General features: G+C 37.7%; 1 protein-coding gene and 1 pseudogene across 5 annotated transcripts in view, besides 6 other annotated features; one reads left to right on the plus strand and one right to left on the minus strand.

Annotated features, from left to right (window-relative positions):
• Positions 421-1,314: an enhancer, noted in NCBI's record as "H3K27ac-H3K4me1 hESC enhancer chr2:55508487-55509380 (GRCh37/hg19 assembly coordinates)". NCBI's record gives its function as "activates a minimal SCP1, AML or CMV promoter by ChIP-STARR-seq in naive H9 embryonic stem cells {active_cell/tissue: H9 hESC(naive)}" and the evidence as "EXISTENCE:reporter gene assay evidence [ECO:0000049][PMID:30033119]".
• Positions 1,315-2,206: an enhancer, noted in NCBI's record as "H3K27ac-H3K4me1 hESC enhancer chr2:55509381-55510272 (GRCh37/hg19 assembly coordinates)". NCBI's record gives its function as "activates a minimal SCP1, AML or CMV promoter by ChIP-STARR-seq in naive H9 embryonic stem cells {active_cell/tissue: H9 hESC(naive)}" and the evidence as "EXISTENCE:reporter gene assay evidence [ECO:0000049][PMID:30033119]".
• PRORSD1P (prolyl-tRNA synthetase associated domain containing 1, pseudogene) lies at positions 1,389-3,542 on the plus strand (annotated as a pseudogene). The gene has a single exon (NR_027258.1). The product of NR_027258.1 is annotated as a prolyl-tRNA synthetase associated domain containing 1, pseudogene (transcript).
• CCDC88A (coiled-coil domain containing 88A) overlaps positions 6,912-21,752 on the minus strand; it is a 132,015-nt gene continuing 117,174 nt past the window's right edge. For 3 of the 4 annotated variants that reach the window (NM_001135597.2, NM_018084.5, NM_001365480.1), the window contains 7 exons: positions 20,942-21,142; positions 20,276-20,347; positions 18,909-18,989; positions 15,328-15,593; positions 14,667-15,126; positions 10,746-10,845; positions 6,912-10,234 (listed from right to left, as the gene is read on the minus strand). In NM_001135597.2, coding sequence (NP_001129069.1) covers positions 10,781-10,845; positions 14,667-15,126; positions 15,328-15,593; positions 18,909-18,989; positions 20,276-20,347; positions 20,942-21,142 — 1,145 coding nt within the window. In that variant the 3' untranslated portion in view covers positions 6,912-10,234; positions 10,746-10,780. The remainder of the gene's footprint in view (positions 10,235-10,745; positions 10,846-14,666; positions 15,127-15,327; positions 15,594-18,908; positions 18,990-20,275; positions 20,348-20,941; positions 21,143-21,752) is intronic. The other variant, NM_001254943.2, reaches the window with a different exon arrangement.
• Positions 8,306-8,806: an enhancer, noted in NCBI's record as "H3K27ac hESC enhancer chr2:55516372-55516872 (GRCh37/hg19 assembly coordinates)". NCBI's record gives its function as "activates a minimal SCP1, AML or CMV promoter by ChIP-STARR-seq in primed H9 embryonic stem cells {active_cell/tissue: H9 hESC(primed)}" and the evidence as "EXISTENCE:reporter gene assay evidence [ECO:0000049][PMID:30033119]".
• Positions 8,807-9,307: an enhancer, noted in NCBI's record as "H3K27ac hESC enhancer chr2:55516873-55517373 (GRCh37/hg19 assembly coordinates)". NCBI's record gives its function as "activates a minimal SCP1, AML or CMV promoter by ChIP-STARR-seq in primed H9 embryonic stem cells {active_cell/tissue: H9 hESC(primed)}" and the evidence as "EXISTENCE:reporter gene assay evidence [ECO:0000049][PMID:30033119]".
• Positions 13,603-13,897: a silencer, noted in NCBI's record as "tiled region #7699; HepG2 Repressive non-DNase unmatched - State 15:Elon, and K562 Repressive non-DNase unmatched - State 14:Gen5'". NCBI's record gives its function as "represses a minimal TATA promoter and a strong SV40 promoter by Sharpr-MPRA in HepG2 and K562 cells {active_cell/tissue: HepG2 | K562}" and the evidence as "EXISTENCE:reporter gene assay evidence [ECO:0000049][PMID:27701403]".
• Positions 21,569-21,678: an enhancer, noted in NCBI's record as "active region_15780". NCBI's record gives its function as "activates an Ori minimal core promoter by ATAC-STARR-seq in GM12878 lymphoblastoid cells {active_cell/tissue: GM12878}" and the evidence as "EXISTENCE:reporter gene assay evidence [ECO:0000049][PMID:35858748]".

The raw sequence follows: 21,752 nt of genomic DNA on the forward strand, positions 1-21,752 counted from the left end.
CTGCTGTGTCCGGTTTCCATTGGCTGGAATGGGACCTCACATTCTGTATTTGTCTTGATTGGCTAGCAACTTAGAACTTTTTAAAAGAGGCAAAGATAGAGGAGAACAAAGGAAGTAACTTATGGAATGCTGAGAAAGGTAAGAACACTTTTAAATAAGGAAGAGGAATACGCTATGACCTAATGCTTGCTTGGACCAGTATAAGCATGCCAGGGCAAATATTTAGGCTAAATTGTGGGAGCTAAGAACATAAAGTACACTGATTTGTTTATTATGGCTAGCAGATATTTAAGAATGTTTGCAAGGGTCTTTGAATAAATTTTGCTTCTAAGAGAAGTTACTATTTATTCCTAATTAGACGGGGAGGAAAGTCTTTGAAGAGGAATAGCTACTTTACTTTTTACAGCTGGAAACACCAAGATAGCTTAAAACCACCTGGAGGTAGTCAAACTACCTTGGGAAAAGGTGAGTCATAGTTGGCACAGTCAATTATTCTTAGATCAATAATAAGAACTGTCAGAAAAGGTAAAATGTAAAATTATAATTTACAACAAAAGAAGTTGAAAAGCCTTAGAACAGTATGGATCTGGGCCCCTTCCACACTCCCTAATCTGGGAGTTACTATGTGGGTTTGATTGACTATTGATTATTTATTTATTTTTAGAGACACGGTCTCATTATGTTGCCCAGGCTGGTCTCAAACTGTGGACTCTGAGCGATCCTCCTGCCTCAGCCTCCCAAACTGTTGGGATTACAGACGTGAGCCACCGGGCACCGCCTGCCTATCTGCGGTTTAAACAATAAAAGCGGCGGGAAGCGGTGGTTCAGTCCTGTAACCCCAACACTTTGGGAGGCTGGAGGATCGCTTGAATCCAGGAGTTCGAGACCAGCCTGGGCAACAAGGCGAGACCCTGTCTCTACAAAAAGTACAAAAATTAGACGGCTGTGGTTGCTGGTGCCAGTAATCCCAGCTACTCGGGAGGCTGAGGCGGGGGAATCACTAGATCCCAGGAGGCGGAGGTTGCATTGGGCCGCGATCGCGCCACTGCACTCCAGCCTGGGTGACAGAGCAAGGCTGCGTCTCGAAAAACAAAAAACTCCCAAACCGTCAACAGAAGATATGGTGATCTGGGAAACTTGAAGTGGGATCAGGGAGGGCTGTGAGATCGCAGGCGCCGCCCCGCAGCGAGGCGCCTGTTGAGAGCTCCCGCAGGCCTTCGCAAGCCGGAGCCCTCAGCGGACGATGTTCAGGGACTAGCGGGCGAGGCGCTCAGACAGGGCGGACCCGCCTTCACCAGGCACCAGCACTACGCTGCCGGCGTCGGCCGAGATCCCTCTGGGCAGTTCCGCCTCAGGCTTCGGTCTGCGCAGCCGCGGGAAGCCGTGCCGTTTTTCCGCCCATCGCCACGATAGCGGCTCCACGGCGGGCGCGGAGTTGGGAGCGGCGCTCGAGCAGCGGCTCGGTGCCCTGGCCATCCACACTGAGGTCGTGGAGCACCCCGAGGTGAGGCCCCTAGAAGCGACCGCCGAGACAGGCCCAGCGGGGTGGGCTGTGCTGCACGTCCGTCGGGCGAGGCCGCTGAGATCAGGTGTCCCAGGGTCAATGTACCGTGAGAACGTCGCTCCTGGAATATTTCCCCGGTCTCAAAATACGAAAGTGACCCTGCAGGGACAGCAGAGGACTTCCATCTTGGGACCATGAGGTTACTGCACGGAAATCTTTACTCTTGGGAGTGATCTGCTTACATTCCGTGTTGAGAACCAGCACAACATACGGAGGACTGTGCATCTTAAATCGGTCTGGGATGCTGGGTCAGTTTGTCCACTTTTTGTGTAGATAAAATAAGCAAGTGGTTAATAGTGTGTTCAGTAGGTACGACGTATCAGGCACCATACATAGAGCAGGACACTGAGGTTCACAGTGATATTTTTCTACTGTGGTCAGGGTTGATCACAAAGTATGCAGCATGGCAGAAACCACCACCACCCGTAAAGTGCTTACCAAAATTGACATGCCTGTATTTTCATAAATTGTAACATTTGTTGTGTTTTGATAGAAAGTCTTACTTGCATTTATTTTATTTATTTATTTATTTGAGACAGAGTCTCTGTGGCCCAGGCTGGAGTGCAGTGGTGCGATCTCGGCTCAATGCAACCTCTGCCTCCTGGGTTCAAGCGATTCTCCTGCCTTAGCCTCCCGAATATCTGGGACTACGAATATCTGGGACTACAAGCGCCCGCCACCACGCCTGGCTAATTTTTGCATTTTTAGTAGAGACGGGATTTCGCCATGTTGCCCTGGCTGGTCTCGAACTCCTGACCTCAGGTGATTCTCCCACCTGGGCTTCCCAAAGTGCTAGGATTACAGGCGTGACCCACCGCGCCAGACCACTTGCAAATATTTCACAGAGCCAATGTGTAACTTGAGTGGTGCAAGGACATGAAGTTTACCCAAGGCTTAACAGTTGATAGATAATGGCTAAATATGGTGATCTTCAAAGAGTAGAGAAATATAGTTAGTATTCCTCACCTTCACAAATACAACATCAAAACCGTAATCCTTTTCTGTGACCTTCCTCCCTCCCATATAGTCCTATATTCTCCCCCTTCTTTATGTGTGCGTATGCCAGCTTTTCTGATGTTCTGTTAGTCTGGGTTCTTATTGCCTCCCCACTCACGTTCTTTGTGGTTACATATTTGTAGAATGGAGGTTGTCACATGGTCTGGACGTAACGGAATGCTAAAGAATAGGAGTCTAGAACTGCTGTAAACTTTCAGTAACCAAAAGCTTAAATTTAGAAATAAAAAGCTGCTGAGGAGTGAGATCTTGGCAAGTACATTGGAATACAAAACTGGCCGAAGAAACTGCCTGAGGTCCTGAGATGAGGAAATGAGATGGCATGGGCTTATAAGTAATTATTTGGTAAAGGGGTGAAGATGGGTCTTTAACAGTGAAATTCAGGGCGATAGGCACTCCCAAACCTTGCTGTTTTCACCCAGCAGGCAAAATAGGTATAAACGTGTGCATATGTAAACATGCATATTACTTTAAAACTTACTGATATCTTATAGCTATTTACAGTTGAAGAAATGATGCCTCATATTCAACATCTGAAAGGAGCACATAGTAAGAACTTATTTCTTAAAGACAAAAAGAAAAAGAATTATTGGCTGGTGACAGTTCTTCATGATAGACAAATTAATTTAAATGAGCTTGCCAAGCAGTTAGGTGTTGGGAGTGGAAATCTGCGATTTGCTGATGAAACAGCCATGCTAGAAAAACTAAAAGTTGGTCAAGGCTGTGCCACACCCTTGGCACTTTTCTGTGATGGTGGAGATGTGAAGTTTGTTCTGGATTCTGCTTTTCTCGAAGGTGGACATGAAAAGGTGTACTTTCATCCAATGACCAATGCTGCAACCATGGGATTGAGCCCTGAAGACTTTCTCACATTTGTGAAGATGACAGGACATGATCCCATAATACTAAATTTTGATAAAAACAACTAATTGGGCCAATGTTTAGAATAAATTTCTTTCTGAAAGCTGTTTTTCTTATTTGTAATTTATAAAAAGCATTGAAAGTGTAAGAATATTTGGTATCCTTAGTTTGGTGACTATCTAAACCACTTTAGGAGGAATATAGTATTTCATCTTGAAAGAGCTGTTTTTTTTTGAGACGGAGTTTTGCTTTTGTCGCCCAGGCTGGAGTGCAGTGGTGTGACCGTGGCTTCCTGCAACCTCCGCCTCCTGGGTTCAAGCGATTCTCCTGCCCCAGCCTCTGAAGTAGTTGGGATTACAGGCACACACCACCACTCCCAGCTAACTTTGTAATTTTAGTAGAGATGGGGTTTCACCATGTTGGCCAGGCTGGTTTCAAACTCCTGACCTCAGGTATCCACCCACCTCGGCCTCCCAAAGTGCTGGGATTACAGCCGTGAGCCACTGTGACTGGCCCTATAAAATAGCTCTTTTTAAAAAGATGTATGGAGGTACTTTTAGTCAGCTCAGAGATTCAGTTTTCCATCTCCCATGACAACTACTTATTATAGGAATGCCTCCAACAATTAAAAATACTTCAAAGATTAACCAGCTTACATCTTTAGGGTGCTTATTGTACTTGAAAAAAGCAAGTTGCAAAACAGTATGTATAAAATTATGATAGTGTACATAATACAAGGAAAAAATCAAAAGGAATATAGGAATGTATTGTTGAGGCCAGGTGCAGTGGCTCTCACCTGTAATCTCTGCTTTTGGAGGCTGAGGCAGTAGGATCAGTTGAGGCCAGGAGTTTCAGACCCGGCTGGGCAACAAAGTGAGAGAACCCCCTTTCTACAAAAAATTGAAAAGTAAGCCAAGTATGGTGGTTCACACGTGTAGTCTTAGTATATTGGGAGGCTGGATCACTTGAGTCCAGGAATTCAAGGCTACAGTGAGCTATGATCACAGCACTGCACTGCAGCCTGGGTGACAGAGTGAGACTTTGTCTTTAAAAAAAAAAAGTGTTGATAGTGGCTATTTTTGGGAAATGGGGATTAAAGAATAAGAACTCCCTAGCAAGATAATTAAAACAAACATTGAGGCAAAGGTAAACACTTTCCATTATTGGGGTTTGTTTATAAACCAGTGATTTTTTTTTTTCCCAGTGAAAAATAAGCTAATTAACTTTCTATGAAAATGTATCTTTACAAAATTTTAATCCAGAAAAACAGCTAGGGGGGAATATGTTATGTCATAATCATTGTACTATTAAATTTACAGGCCAGGTACAGTGGTTCACGCCTGTTAATACTAGCACTTTGGGAGGCCGAGGTGGGTGGATCACCTGAGGTCAGGAGTTCGAGACCAGCCTGACTAACATGGCGAAACCCCGTCTCTACTAAAAATACAAAAATTAGCTGGGCATGGTGGTGTGTGCCTGTAGTCCCAGCTACTCGGGAGGCTGAGGCAGGAGAATCACTTGAACCCAGGAGGCAGAGGGTGCAGTGAGCCAAGAATGCGCCACTGCACTCCAGCCTGGGTGACAGAGTGAGAATCTTTTTCTTTTTTTCTTTAAAAGAAAAAAAAAAGAGAGAAAAGTTATATTTATAGGCTGGCCTGATGGTAGTGAGTTATCTCAACTGATTGTTCAGTCAGTTACAGATGGAACTCCTTGTTCCACTCTTTCCTCCCTTTCCACTACTACACTTGACTAATCTTAACAAAATATTACATTAAAAAGTGTAGTAATGGAATATACATTATGTTATTAAAAAGGATTTGAGGCCAGGTGTGGTGGCTTATGCCTGTAATCCTAGCACTTTGGGAGGCCAAGGGTAGGGGCAGATTGCTTGAGCCCAGGAGACTGGTTTGGGCAACATGGTGAAACGATGTCTCTACAAAACACATAATAGCTGTGCACGATGGCATGCACCTGTAGTCCCGGCTACTTGGGAGGCTGAAGTGGGAGGATTACTAGGAAGTCCAGGCTGCAGTGAGCAGTAATCCTGCCAGTACACTCCAGCCAGGGTGACAGGGTGAGACCCTGTCCCCCACCCCCCAAAAAAGGATTTGTTTAGTCTTTGTTCAGAGATTAGAAATGTGAACATACAATTAGCCAGGCGTGGTGGCGCATCCCTGTGATCCCAGCTACTTGGGAGGCTAAGACAGGAGAACTGAAAGAAATGTGAACATACTTTCAGAAAGAAATGTGAACATACTCGTCCAAGTTTCTTCTGTCCTCCAGGCTATACTGAAGTTTTACTCATCCCCTTTCAGTTGTTTTTTTTTTTTTTTTTGAGTCAGAGTCTCGCTGTGTTGCCAGGCTGGAGTGCAATGGCACGATCTTAGCTCACTGCAACCTCCGCCTCCCGGGTTCAAGCGATTCTCCTGCCTCAGCCTCCTGAGTAGCTGGGACTACAGGCATGCACCACCACACCCAGCTAATTTTTGTATTTTTAGTAGAGACAGGGTTTCACCATGTTGGCCACGATAGTCTCGATCTCTTGAACGCGTGAACCGCCTGCCTCGGCCTCCCAAAGTGCTGGGGTTACAGGCGTGAGCCACCATGCCCGGCCTACTCATCCCCTTTCAGTTCTGGCATCTGAGACAATATAAAATTGCAGGAAAATCTGGAGTCATCTGTTATATAAAAGCTAGTTCAAAAACAGAAAAGTTGACATTTTTTAAACTTCACTTAAATGTAAACAAAATCCTTCATTAGTGGAGTGAGGATCTGATGTAGGCTATTCCTCTTCTTGTGGTCATGAAAATTCTAGTATTTCCTTCTAGTACAACCAAATGGGACTGTCTTTTGTTTCTGTTTTTGTTTTTTTCTGAAATGGGATATTCTTTAAGAACCACATTTTCCTAAGTTTGATCATTCAAAAAGTAGTTTCCATCTGGTAGAAATATTGTACTTAGTTTGTACCAAGTTGTGTTACTAAAAGGCAAAATAAAAGTAATGACTTTATTCTAAGGTTCCTCTTAGTTTTTACATACTCGGTATTCTATCTCTAACACAAAGTAGCCGTTTTAGGTTGCTTTGCATATGAAATGAAGGTACTAATGAATACACAGAAATTAAGTACCTTAGGTATCTGGTCTAATTGCCCTCCCCACCTTATAGTGAAAACAGGCCCAGAAAAACTGACCAGCCCAAGGATGAGGCCAGTTCCTTTGTCTCCCAAAGTCTAAGTGAAAATGGGAGATTCATTTGTGCAATCTATTAGATTACATTTAAACCTATTTTGGGACTGATAAAATTGACAGATGCTCTTTCTCTCCAAACCCCTAATACTTATCACAAAATGATATGACAGAATCAACTAAACAAGGTCATGGGTTATGTCTGACGATAGTTCTCTAGGGAAAATGGAAAGAAATAAAATAACACTTGGCTAAAATGATATCATTTTTAAATGATTACTAACCAGTTGTTACAAAAATCACCTCTTGGTTTTATTTCTTTTTATATTAGTTTGATACGTGAATGTTAGTCCAACTTAATTTTTGAAGGAGAAACAAAATGAAAAATGTTTTTTAAAAAACAAACAGTGGTATCTCTTGTCATGAGTTGGATGCCTGTGACTGACATCAGGTATTGCCAAGTAATAAACATTTTGCCATTCAACTCTAAATCCCTTATTAGCATTAGTTTTAAAGGAAATGTTACAGCTTTTATATTATTTGATTTGGTATTTAATAACAGTTATAAGTACAATGGTAGACACTGAAAAAGAAAACCCTTAATAGAAAAGAAAAAGACAATTTAAAATTAGATTTTGTTGAAGGGTGTTATAAGTGCAACTTTATCCATATGCATTCCTTTTAAGGCATTTTCATTGTCCAAATATCTCAACATGTACATCAAGGTTTATATTATAAAATGGGCTCCTTTTGTATTCATTCAAGACTTAAAGAAAAAATACATCTCAGGACTAAGTGTAGCTGAAAAGAAAAACACAAAAATTCACCACTCACAAAAAGTAACTTAAAATACAAAAGTCATTTAGTATACATTATTACTCCCCATTGTAATTCCAGATTTGGTACAGTATCTTTTTCATTTCCTGACATAAACCATTAAGACAGCACAGGCTGTAGTACTTCATTGTGAGGTGGCTACAACTCTATAATATGCACAGTGATTTTAAAATAGGCTTTTTGCATGCCTTGCATGAAAGGTGCTACATACAAACCTGTTTTGTGAACTCTTTGGTAACCACCAATTTAAAAATTTGGATGAAAGCATTTCCACATGGACAGATCTGAAGCACATTATTGGAGCTCTGAGCCAAAGCTATTACCCTGTATATTGATTCTTCAGTTTCCTTGAGGGGTTAGGTGTTGATTTAGAATACAGCCAGATAATTTAAAGCATGTCAGGCCCCGGTTAGGAAAATGAAAATGGCTCCGATTCGTTTCCAGTTGGCTTTATTATTGTTTGGCAGAAGTTGTTTAGGGGAGAAGAGTGGCTTCCTACAAAGTTTGCTTCTCAAGGTATACTGGAGAAAGTAAAATATTCATGTGGTTACTACTGTCTAGTCGTTTCTTGAAATGGTATGAAAAAAGTGTGATGAATATAATTGAGATTATTCATATTTTTGTAGTCTCAATGTGTTCCCTTGGTTGTCTCTTTAATTGTCCCTTCTCAGGGTCAGCCTACTCAGATTCAGTACTTTACACGTTGTTTTCAGCATTTTCTGCTTGAAGCACTAATGCACTTAACCCAGCATGTTCTGTATTTTAGGATATTAGTGTTCTGGAGAGGTCAAGCTGTAATGTCATTCGCCCTCATTGGGCTACATCACCACCCATTAAATTTCAGCTTTTCAGTAATTGTTCTGGGATGTGTTCTAGTTGTGCAAATTAGATGCTAGCTAATATAAATCTAAGTTACCCACTAACTGTATTTAGCCATAACATAATTTCTATGTTTACTTTTATCCACCTAAAAATGAATGTACATTTTTTGACATGCAATTGTCTCTAGACTGCTCTGATACCTATTACCAATGTGCTACTTGAATCCAGGGAGTTATGAGAGAGAGAGATGTTTCAAAGTCTACGGAAAAGGTTTTAGATATTTCTGTTGTGCATTATTTTTGTATGTTAGTAAGAATCCTTTGTATTTCCATTTACATAGCACCTTTCATCCAAGATTTTCAAAATGATTTAACGTTAACAGCATTTGGTGGTAAAACCTAAGTTACCGGTGGCATTGAAGTACGTAAGTAAGCTCAAGTTCTCTAAGTTCCATTTCAATTTAAACATGCTCTCTTTTTTATTGATGGTCTTTTGGAAATTAGACTGTGAACACAACATTGCTACTGGCCTACGAAAGAGAGAGAGAAAGAGGGAGAGAGAAAGAGAGAGAGAGAGAGAGAGAGAGAGAGACTTTTCTTATGGTTACTGGGTTAGTGATGAAACCCACAACTCATAAACCACACACTATGGAATATGGAATTATTCCAAAAAGTTCTTCAGAGCTGGTAATGAAAGCCTAAGAAGTACACTGTTAAAATTTTAAAAAGTCAGTATGTTTCTCATTTCAGACCTTGAAGATTACTCTGATATTGATGTTAAATAATGAATTTGCATTAATGAGTATCAATGCATTTTTTGATTTCATAAGAAAATAAAACTGTGATATAAAATTGGAACTACTAAAAAAATTGATGTTTCCCTGGGTTAACTAAATCTATTTTTTTGTGCTTCTTCCAAATGTTTAAAGGTAACAAATGCATACAAATATTTCAAAAGTACCAATAACAGTTATCAACTTTAATGTAATATCATAAAGGAGAAAAAAATCATTAATAAATGATAGCCTTAATTATAAATGAGTTTCTGGCAAAATGCAGATCATAGTAACTTATTTACATTATTTTTGCCATAAGAAAACTTCTTAAGCAACAGTCAGCTCTCAAGTTAAAAAAATGCACACGCATACATAACCCAATACCAAAGAAAAGAAATGAGTTAAAGCACAACAGCTTTATCTTGGGAATGCCATTTGCTGAAAAACCATCTTACTAAAAAAAAGTTTCAGAAAAACACTCTTTACCATGGGTTAACTTATGAATGCTTAGTGTTGCTTAATGGGAAATATGGAAAGATTAATATCACTATAAATTTTTTATAACTCCTATTTCATTATGGATTTTTCAGATTTATCTTATAAACTGAATTTCTTTTGCATCAAAATAATTGGCTTTAAGAAAAAAAAAGTATCAACACATGCAGTCTGCTAACCAAATAAGGCTCTGACATGCCAAAACAATTTTCTCTGTATCTTGCTATATAGTACATTCCACAAAATACTACAGCATTTAATTTAGGTTTACACAACTAAATATAAATGGCTAGATTTTGGCTAACACTTAGCAGAAGCATTAAGCAAACATGGATAAATTCATAAAACAAATGATGAAAAAAGCAGATTGTTCTTGGAGTACTTCTTTAAACACTTAACCTTAAAACACCTGGTCCTTAGTGAGAGAACGTCCTTTATTCAGTAGATCTTAACAGTACAAGGTATAGTAAGTCCTAAAACCTTTAAAAAATTTTGGCAGTTGAATCCAGTAGTGCTCCTTGATTCAAGGAATGAAGGTTTGTATTTCTTGCCTGCTCTATTCACGAAGGACTGTTAAAAGTCTCCTTAAAGATTTTTAAAAATGATTCCTATAGTTGCTAGGTGTCTTGTTACTTCAGAAATAAAGGCTTCATACTGAGAAACTGAAGGACACTTTTCTCTCTGTATTTAGTTGGAAGGTAGAAAGAAGAAAGAAAATATAAGAAAAGCTTAAAGATAAGAGAGACACAAAATACAGAGCAGCCACTATAAGAACAGCATGCACCAGGTATTTCTATAAGAATGAGAATGACAGACAATCAGAGATAATTTTTGAGTGGCTCATCATAGAATAGGCATTTAGTCATTAATTTTCAAGAAAACTGTGGGGAAGTTGTATTCCTACCACAAAAGGCTTCAAACTAAAAAAGTAATTCCTAGAACATAATTCACTAGTAAAATTAAATTTAAAGTGACAAAAAAACTTAAAAAAAAATACTTGTTCCTTGCGCTGACAGGTAAAAACCTATGGCAGCCAACTAATCTTGCTTCACTAGTAAGTAGAACAGAAAGTCAATGAATTAAGCAAGCAATATTTACATCTGTTAATGCAATGTGCACTTGTTTCACACTTAATTTGGTTAGTTTGTATAAATGAGACTAATCTCATTTACATTTTAAGCAGGAAACTCACCACTTGGCCCACATGTCATGTAGTGGGTAATAGAATTAGGAGCTTTGTTGCTCCCTAGACCTGCTTTTTGAATTTCTGCTTTCTTGTACTTTGTCCACATCTGCAGGAGAAAAGCATTTCATGTTATTTAGTCAAAGATGAAACAAAATACAATTCAGAAGATAAGAAATACACTCTCACTGAGTAGGGCAAGGAGAAGGAATCTGTAACTGTCTGGGAAAATTATTAATCTCATAGGCATCTCAATACTTAAAGATCGATTTTTATATTTTAAAGCTATAAGTAATATTCCTAGGAAAGCTATAATTTTTAAAAAAACTATAACAATTACATTTCCCCCCCTCTTAGTGCCAGATAGCCTTACTATGTTTATTTACTAAATGGTCACCTACAGTCTTAAACATAATCTTGCATGTAGTAGCAAAACCATCTGGAATGAAGTATTTGTATTATTTACTAAGAAAACCAGGGCTTGATGCATATTTTATAGGCAAATAATGTTCCTCCTTACATTGGTTAAAGCTAAAATTGCTTTGGTCAAAGGGGATGCAGTGCATAAGAATATGTTTATAATTTCTAGAAAGCTAGGCCAGGAATACTGAAAGCTATCCAGCTTCATCATTTATAAAATTAGGGTACTGAATCTTCGAATAGTTTTACAAATAATCCTTTTGAAAACTGGAGGTGTCTTAGAGGAAATAAGTGCAATTGCTCAATTGAGTCAGAGTTGTTTCACTTTTACTTTAAATGAAATTCATTTTTTAAAATTTGGGGCATCTATGTAAGATTTCACTTACAGAAAGTATTGTTTTTTTTCTTAAATGTTTGGGACACATCGGTTCCATATGATTTCTAAGGTATTTTCACCACTAAAAATTTGATTCCAAATGCTATGAAAAAACGTTGATAAGAACTAGTGTTGTGGCCAGTCGCAGTGGCTCACGCCTGTAATCCCAGCACTTTGGGAAGCTGGTCAGGAGTTGGAGACTAGCTTGGCCAACATGGTGAAACACCGTCTCTACTAAAAATACAAAAATTTGCTGGGCGTGGTGGCATGCTCCTGTAATCCCAGCTGCTTGGGAGGCTGAGGCAGGAGAATTGCCTGAATCCAGGAGGCAGAGGTTTCAGTGAGATGATATCACGCCACTGTACTCCAGCCTAGGCTACAGAGTGAGATTCCATCTCAAACAAACAAACAAAAAGAACTAGTGGTGTTTTGGGGGGAATTTTATGACTCCACAGCAGGTGATGATTTCTGAAGTCCAGACTGTATTTTCCAACAGTCCTCAGGACACATGGACATGATACATATTTCTCTTATATGCACAGTGTATTTTTTTTTTTTTTGGAAACATGCTGCATATAAACATATAGCTTTTTGGGTAGGAAATAGTTCTTTTCTGTAAGTCTAATTTTGTAAAATAATCACATAATTTTAATATAATAGCATGTGATTTTTCAATGAATTTTGAATGAATAAATACAATATTTTGAAGTGTTATGGTCAGAATTATGATATCTAAAAAGTTGAAATAGCTGTGAAATAATCTTTGACTCAGTGTGGAAAAGAAATAACACTAATTATAACATTTGTGTCATATACTGCCCCCATTTAATCTCAGCTATGTTTACTATTAAGTTTTGTTACTGGCCTATGAAAAAACAAAAGGGAAAATATTAGCACCAAATATATTTGAAATGTCAGGACTGACTGGGAAGTAACTGACAATAAAATAGAAGGATGCAAAAAGTATATTAGGTGGTACTAAAATATGACAATCCTCTGATTGTGTTCATTTGATTACCTGTACCAGAACCATTTTTTTTTTTTTTTGTAATAGCTATCGGAAAAAAAGTGTGATTACAAAGGAGACAAATTTCATTAGGAAATATTCTCTACAGATTTTTTCTTTGGTCCAGTTAATAACCACTTAATACAACAACAACAACAACAAGTATAACATAATTTCATCCCCACATGGTCACATTTGAAGGCATTCCTTCCAGGTGCCAGGCTGAGTCCTTATCAGCTATAGGCTAAATCCAAATGGCAAAAAACATTCCAGAGAGAATGCCAATGTGTATTTCTCTGGAAGTAAATGGATCAGGGTTATGGGTTTTTTTGTTTTTAGCAATCTGGGAGTTAGAGATTCAAATTTAGCTAATTTGCTTTAAAAGTGCTGTGAACACAAAAATAAAAGTTCTTTGCACTGGAGTCAAAGTTAACAAATATTTTCTTACTTTTTTTTTTTTTTTTAAGCTAAAGAGTGTATTTATTCTTAGTTCTAAAATTTGTTCTACTAGAAACATACTTGTTTAAATGGTTACAAGTTCTAATTTTACATTTTAGTGTGATTATTCATTTAAAAAAAATTCTGTTTTAAGGATATACATGTATAATTTAATAATAGATTAATTATAGAAGTAACAATTTTTACCACTTTGTAAACTTGCTACCCTTTTTGATTAGAAGTAAAAATACAAATTTCCAACACAATGAATATAATTTGGTTTATTTCTCTTTGACTCTCTATAAAAAAAGAACTGGAAAAACTATTGTATTAACTGATTTCAAGTATAGAAGCCATCTTGAAGAAAAGACAGTTACTTGAGCTCTTGTATTTATCAGATGATGAAAAGTGCAGAGAAGAAACAATAAATACAAATGTTCCTAGTCACTGTGTAAATCACATTTAAATTTGATGGGGTTTTCTAAGAATAACACTAAGTTTATAAGTATTAACAATCTTTTAAATCTGAAAAATGTTTTATAAATATGGGTATTAGTTAATATTTGTTATATAAAGTGTTGAATTATTAACTATTTCTTTAAAACAGGACAGATGGCCTAATTAAATGACAAAAGAAAACAACATCTTTTTACATTTTCCCTACTGATACTGTACATATGTAATATAAAGTACACATTCTGGAAGAAAAAAAGGAGTGACAGTCAGAGCAAGTGAGGGGTGGGAAGAGGAGGAAGGGAGGGAGGAAATGAACATTTTTTTCCAGAAGCAACAAAGCAAATATGACTTGGAAATGTCTTCTTGGTAAGAGAGCATGCAACTGTTTTAACATGCTTCTGGATATCAAAGTAACAATCTTATCAGGCAACAAAAAATGTGAAGGAGGAGCATGTATGGTTAAGGTTTTTAAAGGCATGCAGAAAATGGACAAAGTAATTAATATTTCATGCAGGTTTTGGTGTGGTTACACATTCACATTAATATACATGCCATCATGTACAGCTGAACACTGTGCAACAATTTTAAATAAAAAATAAAAACCTAGCCAAATGATATTTTGTTAACAGCAACTTTTCAAATCATATTAGAGAAGCAGTGTATATCAAATAACATCAATATATTATATTGTGCAGTTTTGATCATATACAACCATATTCATACCAAACAGTTTGATTATCCTCAGAAACCAACAATGCAGCTTCTGTGTCATCAGGATAGAGGCATGCAGAAGTGACAAGATTGTTGCTATTTATAGAAAACTGTAGGTTACTGTTACTAGGGTTCTGATGATCAGAAAACTGTTCATTTTCTTTCTGTGCAGGTTTATCCAAAGAGGCAGAAGCCTGGTCAGTTATTCTGATAACTGGCCTAGGAGGTAACCCACTTATGTTACTAACTAATTCTGTATTCAGGGATAAGAATGGCTGAGATGAATGGGCCACAGTAAATGGTCCTATGCTATCTTTTGCCAACATTCCGAATGCATCACTAGGCATCCTAATAGTGGCAAAAGTTTGGTTTAGAAAATGTGACCTTCCTGTTCTTGAGTTTCTAGCCTGGGCATATAGAGGCTCAGGCATGTCTATAGCTAAATCATTTTGGGCACAAGAACCTATAGTATGTGTTGGGATGTCAAGTATATGAGAGGACCACTGGTGTAAATGGTACTCACTAGATGCTGCAGTGGTGTTGCTGTCAGCAGCAGCTGGTGGTGAATCAACTGATATAGGCAGTCTACTGTCCTTGGTCAAAAAATCATGGATGCTTGTCCTTCGTGTAGTTCCTTCGGCAGTTGAGATCACGCTGCTTGCACGAGGTAAAGTTGCATAAGGGTTACTATCTTTTGATTGTCGTGACAGAGAAGATTCTTTTACTAATTTTATTTTTCCTTGAGTGCCTGGTGTAGGTTTTCCCGCAGAACTAATGAAGTAGGTATCTTCAGTTTTTCGAGGACCAGGTCTCAAAAACTCAGGCTTAGTTGTCCGTCTATCATAGAAGTCCCCTGGGGTTTTTCCACTTACTGACCTGGCCAGACCACAGCTAACTGGTTTGTCTTTTCCCAAAAAGTCAGAAGAGACAGACAAACTTTTCATTACTTCATCTAAAAGATTCTCTTGACTTGAGGACTTTATCTGTTTAAAAAAAAATTCAAAGCAGATTAGTGAATATAGTGCCATGTTTTTACTTTCCTGATTTAGCAGACTGTGCAATATAAAATTGTGGTACCTCTTAATACTCCTTAACTTACCAAAAAAAAAAAGCTCTGAAGTTCAATTACAGAAATTTAACTTGTGGTGTTCATCTAAATTAAGGTCATCATAGATAAAACTAACCTGTACTGAGGTAAGCTTATTGCTTTCTTCCAAAAACTGTTGTAGAGTAACAACTTCACTTCCAGGGGAACCAGTTTTGATCTTGTGATGTCGACTCTCCAGTGTTTCAGATATTTTGTGCTGGAGCACTGGGCTTGATCTGGTCTGTCTTTTCAAGTACTGGATTGGACTGCTACCACTGCTGGACCAAGCCTCATGGTCATGAAGCAGGCTAAATTCTCCACTGCTGTGGCTTTGTGGCCTGCTTTGGTTATTAACTGCACCTGCTTTTGGAGTAAATGGGGTGTTGAGATTTCAATAATAGAATTGAGATTAATACTTCATGAGTAATAACATTTGTTGACTGTGTGCTAATTATATGAACAGCCAAATTTACTTTCAAGCTTTATTTAGAAATGCTTAGTAAACCATGTCAATCTTTTATCAGTCTAACAATTGTCTGCCATAGCCTGCTTCCTTATTTTGTCAAACTGACAACTATTGTAAGCTCCATAAGGGCAAAGACTTGCTTTTACTATCATACTCAGAGCCTAAACAGAGCCTCATACAAAGCATTCAATATATTTTTTGAGTAAATGAATGAATAAATAAGTGAATAATATATTTTTTAAAATTCAGGTTCAAATAGTTATAAAATGCCTTGCAGGCCAGGCGTGGTGGCTCACGCCTGTAATCCCAACACTTTGGAAGGCCGAAGCAGGCGGATCACGAGGTCAGGAGTTGGAGACCAGCGTGGCCAATATGGAGAAACCCCGTCTCTACTAAAAATACAAAAAATTTGCCAGGCGTGCTGGTGCACGCCTGTAGTCCCAGCTACTCAGGAGGCTGAGGCAGGAGAATTGCTTGATACTGGGGGGGTGGAGGTTGCAGTGAGCAGAGATCGCGCCACTGCACTCTGGCCTGAGACTCTGTCTCAACAATAAAAATAAATAAAATAAAATGCCTCACAATTTAGGATAAGAACATGATTAGACAAAATATATATATATATTTCATCTAATGTGTATTTTTATATATATTATATATAATATATATAATTTATATATAATTATATATAAATATATAATATATAATATATAAATTTATATATTATATATAAATATATATAATATATATTATATATAAATATATATTATATATAAATATACATATGTGTGTATTTTTTTTTTTTGAGATGGGGTCTCACTGTGTCACCCAGGCTGGAATGCAGTGGCACGATCTCAGCTCACTACAACCCCCGCCTCCTGGGTTCAAGTGATTCTCTTGCCTCTGCCTCCCAAGTAGCTGGGATTACAGGCATGCGCCCCCATGCCAGGCTAATTTTTGTACTTTTAGTAGAGACGGGGCTTCACCATGTTGGCCAGGTTGGTCTGTAACTCCTGACCTCAGGTGATCTGCCCACCTCGGCCTCACAAAGTGCTGGGATTACAGGTGTGAGCCACCGCACCTGGCTCATTAGGTGAATTTTATATTATTTCAGTATGTTAAGACCAAAAACTGTTCTAAATGCAGAAAATTCTATTTTAATTATTTGCTTATCTAAGAAGTCCTCATTACTACTTGAAGGCTTCTCTGTTCATCCTGCATGGATAACTTTAAACATTTAAAAAAATTTAAAGAGCATACACATAAGGAAAGTTAAATAAAGATATGAAGCAATTACTTACAACATTTCAGTAAAAGTATACAATCAAATATGTAGTGCTTTATTCTTTTTTAAATGTCTTGATCATCTTATTGTTCTTGCTGTCCACTGTTGATATGGTGCCTATATAACCTTAAAAGACTCAGTTGACATTAAGCAACTATATAAAATGAAAATTTGCTAGTTCTAGAATTAAACTCCCTCAAATCTATGGTGTTCCTTAAGAGTACGGATTTGTTTTGATCACGAACAAACTGTACATCAAAACAGAAAATGCAACTTTCCATTGTTTCCCAGTCACAGAGAGTAAAGTGGGCCACGAAAGAATTTGGCTCAAGTTATGTAACATTTTACAAAAGTAAGAGTTTCTTAAATTTTCAAATCAGAAAAAAAAAAATCCTATTTTCAGACTACATTTTTCTACTGGATGTAAAAACATTTTTAATTAAATAATTTATTTCTTTTAAGGCTAGTCAAATGAAGTAGTGGGAGTGGGAAAGGAACAAAGAAATCTGAAAAACATGATAAAAATTAAAAAAAGAAACCCACCTCAAAATTAGGTATTTCAGATCACTGTAATAATGTCATAGCATTAATTGATAAAATAAAATTACAACTGAGACAAAATAATTTTATAATCCAAAAAGGAACAAAACAAATGCATTCCTTGTAACCTGACAATTCTGGAGTACAGAGAGTAACTATGATATATTGGTCAAATAATTCAGAGGCTGGATGAGGTGCCTCACTTGAGCACAGGAGTTCGAGACAAGCCTGGGCAACATGTTAGAAACCCTGTCTCTAACAAAAATACAAAAAAACTAGCTGGGCATGGTGGCATGGGTCTCTGTAGTCCCAGTTACGTGGGAGGCTGACGTGGTAGGATCGCTTGAGTCTGGGAGGCAGAAGTTGCAGTGATTTGAGATAGTACCACTGCACTCAGCCTGGGTGACACAGCGAGAACCCGTCTCAAAAAAAAAAAAAAAAAAAACACAAAAAAACAAAAAACCCTCCAGGCCGGGCAAGGTGGCTCACACCTGTAATCCCAGCACTTTGGGAGGCCAAGGCAGGTGGATCACCTGAGGTCAGGAGTTCAAGACCAGCCTGGTTAACATGGTGAAACCCTGTCTCCACTAAAAATACAAAAAATTAGCTGGGTGTGGTGGTCGTTGGCACCTGCCGTTCCAGCTACTTGGGAGGTTGAGACAGGAGAATGGCTTGAACCTGGGAGGTGGAGGTTACAGTGAGCTGAGATCACACCACTGCACTCCAGCCTGGGCGACAGAGTGAGACTCCGTCTCAAAACAAACAAACAAACAACTTCCAGAATCTGAGTAGGCAGTATATCTTTAAGAAAAAGGTATCAGTCAAGGTTTCCAGACATTTACTTAAATACCTCACCTTGGAATGCACATTTAAAAATTAAGAAAAAAAATCTTGAAATAATTCCTTATATGAGCCAAATGCATTCATATAGTTCTTGTTCAATATATATATACACAAATAGTTGTTTCTCAAATTAAACACAAAATCCTTCCCCTTATTTTGTGGATAAATTAAGCCAAACATATTTCTAAAATATGAGTAATGTGAGTGTCCATGCGTCATAAGAAAATGAAGGACAATCATTTTCATGTCAAAGACAAAATGTCAGTAAAATAAGGACATATAGATAATTTTGAAGTATAAATATTACTATAAGACTTTTATCTATGAAGATGAAAAAGTGAAACTAAATAACTGCTCCTGTTTTTACATTTGTATACATTGAAATACATTTGTATTACAATGTGAAAAGTATAAAATGTTCCAAACAACTATGTTCCAAACATAGATGATTTGGATTTCATGCTTTACCCCAGAAACTTCATCCCATCTCCCACCTTTAAATACTGGAAATGGATAGAGCGCATTAATAAATTTACCTACAGCATACCTTTGACTTCATGTAGTGAAGCATTATTATTGCTATTGCTAGTGGATGTTCTGCCACTATCAAGGCTGGCTGGTCTTGAAGCTAAATGAAAAAACCAGGAGACAGTGTGATAAAACTTCTAGCTGATGATGCTGATGAGCTTTTACATTCTGATTACAGAATGCTTTGAGGAAGCAATCATGCATACTTTCACAAGATGAGCATGCCCAGATTAGAAAGCAAATTTCCAGATAGTTCATTGAGACACTTTAGAATAGGACACTTCTGAAACAATAGTTGAGATTCAAAGAGGAGGATAAAGTGCATATTTAGATTTGAAAATGAGTTCTAGATGGATATGCCAGGAGTGTTTTAGTTAAATAGAATGACATATCCCCCCAGATCCCCCAAAATGCTATTGATTGGGTCACCTACAACAGATCAGACAAGGAACTCTGCACATTGCAGAGATGTCAAGAAGAGGAGGAATACAAGCATCTATACAGTTAATGTCCTGTATTCCTATCTGTAACAAGGGTAACAACTGTATAATTAACACTGCCCTATGCTAACTCTTAAAACCCTGTTTACATTAAAATTCCTTTAACATGTTATCCACTTATTGCCAATAGTTTGGTGAGATATGATTTTCCAGACAGAAATGGAAAATATCTGAAATACTCAACATTGCCCAAAAACTGGTTTCTTTTTGAGTCAGAGTCTCACTCTGTCGCCCAGGCTGGAGTGCAATGACACAATCTTGGCTCACTGCAACCTCCGCCTCCTGGGTTCAAGCGATTCTCCTGCCTCAGCCTCCCAAGTAGCTGGGATTACAGGTGCCTGCCACCACACCCAGCTAACTTTTGTATTTTTAGTAGAGATGGGGTTTCTCCATGTTGGCCAGGCTGGTCTCGAACTCCTGACCTCAGGTGATCCGCATGCCGTGGCCTCCCAAAGTGCTAGGATTACAGGCGTGAGCCACTGTCCCTGGCCCAAAAATTGGTTTCTTAAAGTTCATCCTTTAAAACAGATATTTTTAATATTTTAAACTAATATGTATTTTAAATTGGCATTTTAAACCAATGGTAAAATGCAACTCTTATAACTTTAATCTTATACAAAAATGGTAAGAAAATTACCTTTGAAGACTGTGCAGGCATACTTTATAAATGACCTTGGCTAAAACAGAGAACATTTAGATGAAGCAATTATCTTAAAAGAGGCAGAAGGGAGTATTAGGTTTGAAGAAATGGTAGAGGTAACTATGAGATGCAGGATAGAGAAAACATGCTTGCTGGCAATGACGCATTCACCTATTAAAGGCAAGAGTCCTAGCATTCCCATTCTGTATTTAATGTGTACTCTCTAAATAAGGTTCATTATCTTACCATGAACTCTTGATCCCGTACTAGAATCATCACTAACACCTTGTGGACTTATGTCTTCAAAGGATGTAGTATCTACATAAAATAGCAAAATGGATATAAAGATATTTTTGTAATAAAAAACCATTATAAAATTTTATTTACATAGAATATGGAAATTGTTTTTCAATCATGTATAATACAGATTGACTTAACATATTTCATAGACTCAACTAGAAACTGGAACTAGGAATAAGAAAAATGACAACTCTCATTAGAGTTGACTTGCTTAGGGAAAACACCAAAAGCAATGAAACAATCTCCCCTCTGACCCTGCAAAGCAAAACAAGAGCCTGGGTTGTTCTAGGTAGTTCTGTTGGAAGTTGTAGTGCTTTTAGTTTTTAGAAAACTAGCATTGCCTTCTTTTATCACTCTTTACCTGGTTTACTTCTCGTTTTCTTGTTAATTCATTAGCTGTTTATTATGAAAGGAGGCCTGGAAAAGATTTTAGTTATTTGTATAACGTTTTATATTTTTAAAATGATTTGAAAGTTCCTCCAAATCCAATACAGATCATGTTTTGATAATTATTTCAGGTTGCTGCTTTTTAAAAAGTACACAGGGAAAAGTCAAATTAAAATTCTTGTTGCCAACAATTACACCACAGTGCAAATAGCAGACAGCCTATACCTTTATTATTAACCAACTGCTTGGATCTGAAGCCTGCAGAAGAGTTGACAGTTGAAAAGTTGATGGCTGTAGTAGAGAAGGCCATAGCTCCCAATTCTTTTCTCCTTTTACCCGTTGAAATATCATCAGGAACCTCCAAATTCTCAGTACTACCTGTCCACTGTCCTGCTAGGACCATGGACTGCACCAGGTCATTCATGGCTGGGATGCAAATGAAAGCAAATGAATCAGCATGGTTAATGTATTTGTTCTTATTTCTATTTTGTAGTACAAATACTGTGGTTTTTGTCTATGAATTAATGCAAATGGACATAAAAAATTATAACCACATGGTCATTTAAATTATGACATGCATTCAGCTGAATGAAATGAGTAGGCCAAAGGCTGATAAATTTCAATAAATACTTTTATCCCACCTCCACCCCCTTTAAAAGACAGAGAAAGGAATTTTACTAAGTACGACTGCCATGCGATTGTGCAGCGATGTGCTAAAACTTTAATTAGCAGCCTTCACAATGTGGTTTTGTGGTGACAAAAATGGAATGAATAAAGGTAAGATGGAGAGCAGTTCTTATATAGCATCATTATTGAAAATGAAAGTCCTTGGTCAGAGCAGGTTACTGAAGAAATTATTCATTTTATGACTCAATAAGTATACCATTCAATAAAAACCTGAAAGAGATGATATCTAAAGTGACAGACACTTAATGTGATTATGTAACTACCCATGCCACATAAAAAAAGAAAATCCAGAATATTATTATTTAAAGAATGACAAGCATTTTCAAGGGTTTTTGGCCACTTTATTTAT

The sequence above is a fragment of the Homo sapiens genome, chromosome 2 (genome assembly GCF_000001405.40).
Source record: "Homo sapiens chromosome 2, GRCh38.p14 Primary Assembly".
Classification (NCBI taxonomy): Eukaryota; Metazoa; Chordata; class Mammalia; order Primates; family Hominidae; genus Homo; species Homo sapiens.